The sequence below is a fragment of the Homo sapiens genome, chromosome 12 (genome assembly GCF_000001405.40).
Source record: "Homo sapiens chromosome 12, GRCh38.p14 Primary Assembly".
In the NCBI taxonomy this organism is placed as follows: Eukaryota; Metazoa; Chordata; class Mammalia; order Primates; family Hominidae; genus Homo; species Homo sapiens.
Genome location: NC_000012.12, coordinates 76,675,842 through 76,677,218, shown reverse-complemented (window position 1 = coordinate 76,677,218; position 1,377 = coordinate 76,675,842). Strand labels below are relative to the sequence as shown.

The 1,377-nt window shown below is 43.4% G+C and overlaps 1 annotated feature.

Moving 5' to 3' along the window:
- Positions 270 to 770: an enhancer, noted in NCBI's record as "H3K4me1 hESC enhancer chr12:77070229-77070729 (GRCh37/hg19 assembly coordinates)". NCBI's record gives its function as "activates a minimal SCP1, AML or CMV promoter by ChIP-STARR-seq in naive H9 embryonic stem cells {active_cell/tissue: H9 hESC(naive)}" and the evidence as "EXISTENCE:reporter gene assay evidence [ECO:0000049][PMID:30033119]".

The window sequence follows — 1,377 nt, the reverse complement described above, 5'->3', positions numbered from 1 at the left end:
CACTCCAGCCTGGGTGACAGAGCGAGACTCCATCTCAAAAAAAAAAAAAAAAAAAAAAAAAGATTTAAGTAGTATTATGTCCCCCCTCCCCGCCCGCTCCAGATCCTCCGGCAGCTTCCCATTGCCCTTTGAACAACATCTAAACTCATTACCATGGCCTATAAGGACCTAGGTGGTCTGACGCCTGCCTACTTCTCCAGACTCCACAAATGCTCTTCTATCACTTTGGTGCCAGGTACACCGGTCTACTTTCTGATCCTTGAAAGCACAAAACATAGGGTTGCACTTGCCATTCTCTCTGCCCAAAATGTTCTTGCCTCTTTCTTGTCGTTCAGGTCTCTGTTCATATGCTGCCTCTTCCAAGAGGCCTTCCTTGGGTAGCTACTACCCTGCCCCACTGACAGCTCTGTTTCCAACAACCCTGGTTCTGTTTCCTTTACAAAACCTACTACTGTCTGAAATTATCTATGTGTTCTCACACCTGTAATCCCAGCACTTTGGGAGGCCAAAGCTGGTGGATCACTTGAAGTCAGGAGTGTGAGACCAGCCTGGCCAACATAGTGAAACCCCATCTCCATCAAAAAATACAAAAATTTGCCAGACATGGTGGCAGGTGCCTATAATTCCAGTTACTCTGGAGGCTGAGGCAGGAGAATCGCTTGAACCCAGAAGGTGGAGGTTGCACTGAGCTGAGACCATGCCACTGCACTCCAGCCTGGGCGACAGAGTGAGACCCTATTGAGAGAGAGAGAGAGAGAGACAGAGAGAGAGAGAGAGACAGAGAGAGAGAGAGAGAGAAATTATCTATGTGTTAATTCATTTACTTATTTATTTAGTTTTAGTCAACCAGAATATAAGTTTTGTGACAGCAGGACCTTAATTGTCTTATTCATAGGTATTTCCTCAGTGCCTAGAAAGGTGCCTGATTTATCGCCGGCACTCAAAAAACAAAACAAAACAAAACAAAACCCTACCTTTTTGAATAGATGAAGCACGAACTGCAGTAATCTCTTATCTTCTTTCCCTGCCTTCAGTCGTGTTTGCTCTGATCACCCACCACTCTCTGCCAGAGTGTATCCAAAGAATAAAATCAATCATATTGCTTTCCCTAGATATGACTTATAATAACTTACATAATGAGGTAAGAACTACTGAACATGACATATAGGCTCTGGATATAGATAGCTGTATATGCCTTGATATTATCTTATTTATTCATATGTGTATGTTTGTGTGTGCACTACAGTACTTAGTCTTTTCAAGATGCTAGAACAAAATACATTGGATGGGGCACTGATACACAACAGAAATTTATTGCTCACAGTTCTAGAGGCTGGGATGCTCAAGACTGAGGTGTAGAGCAGATCTGGTGTATGG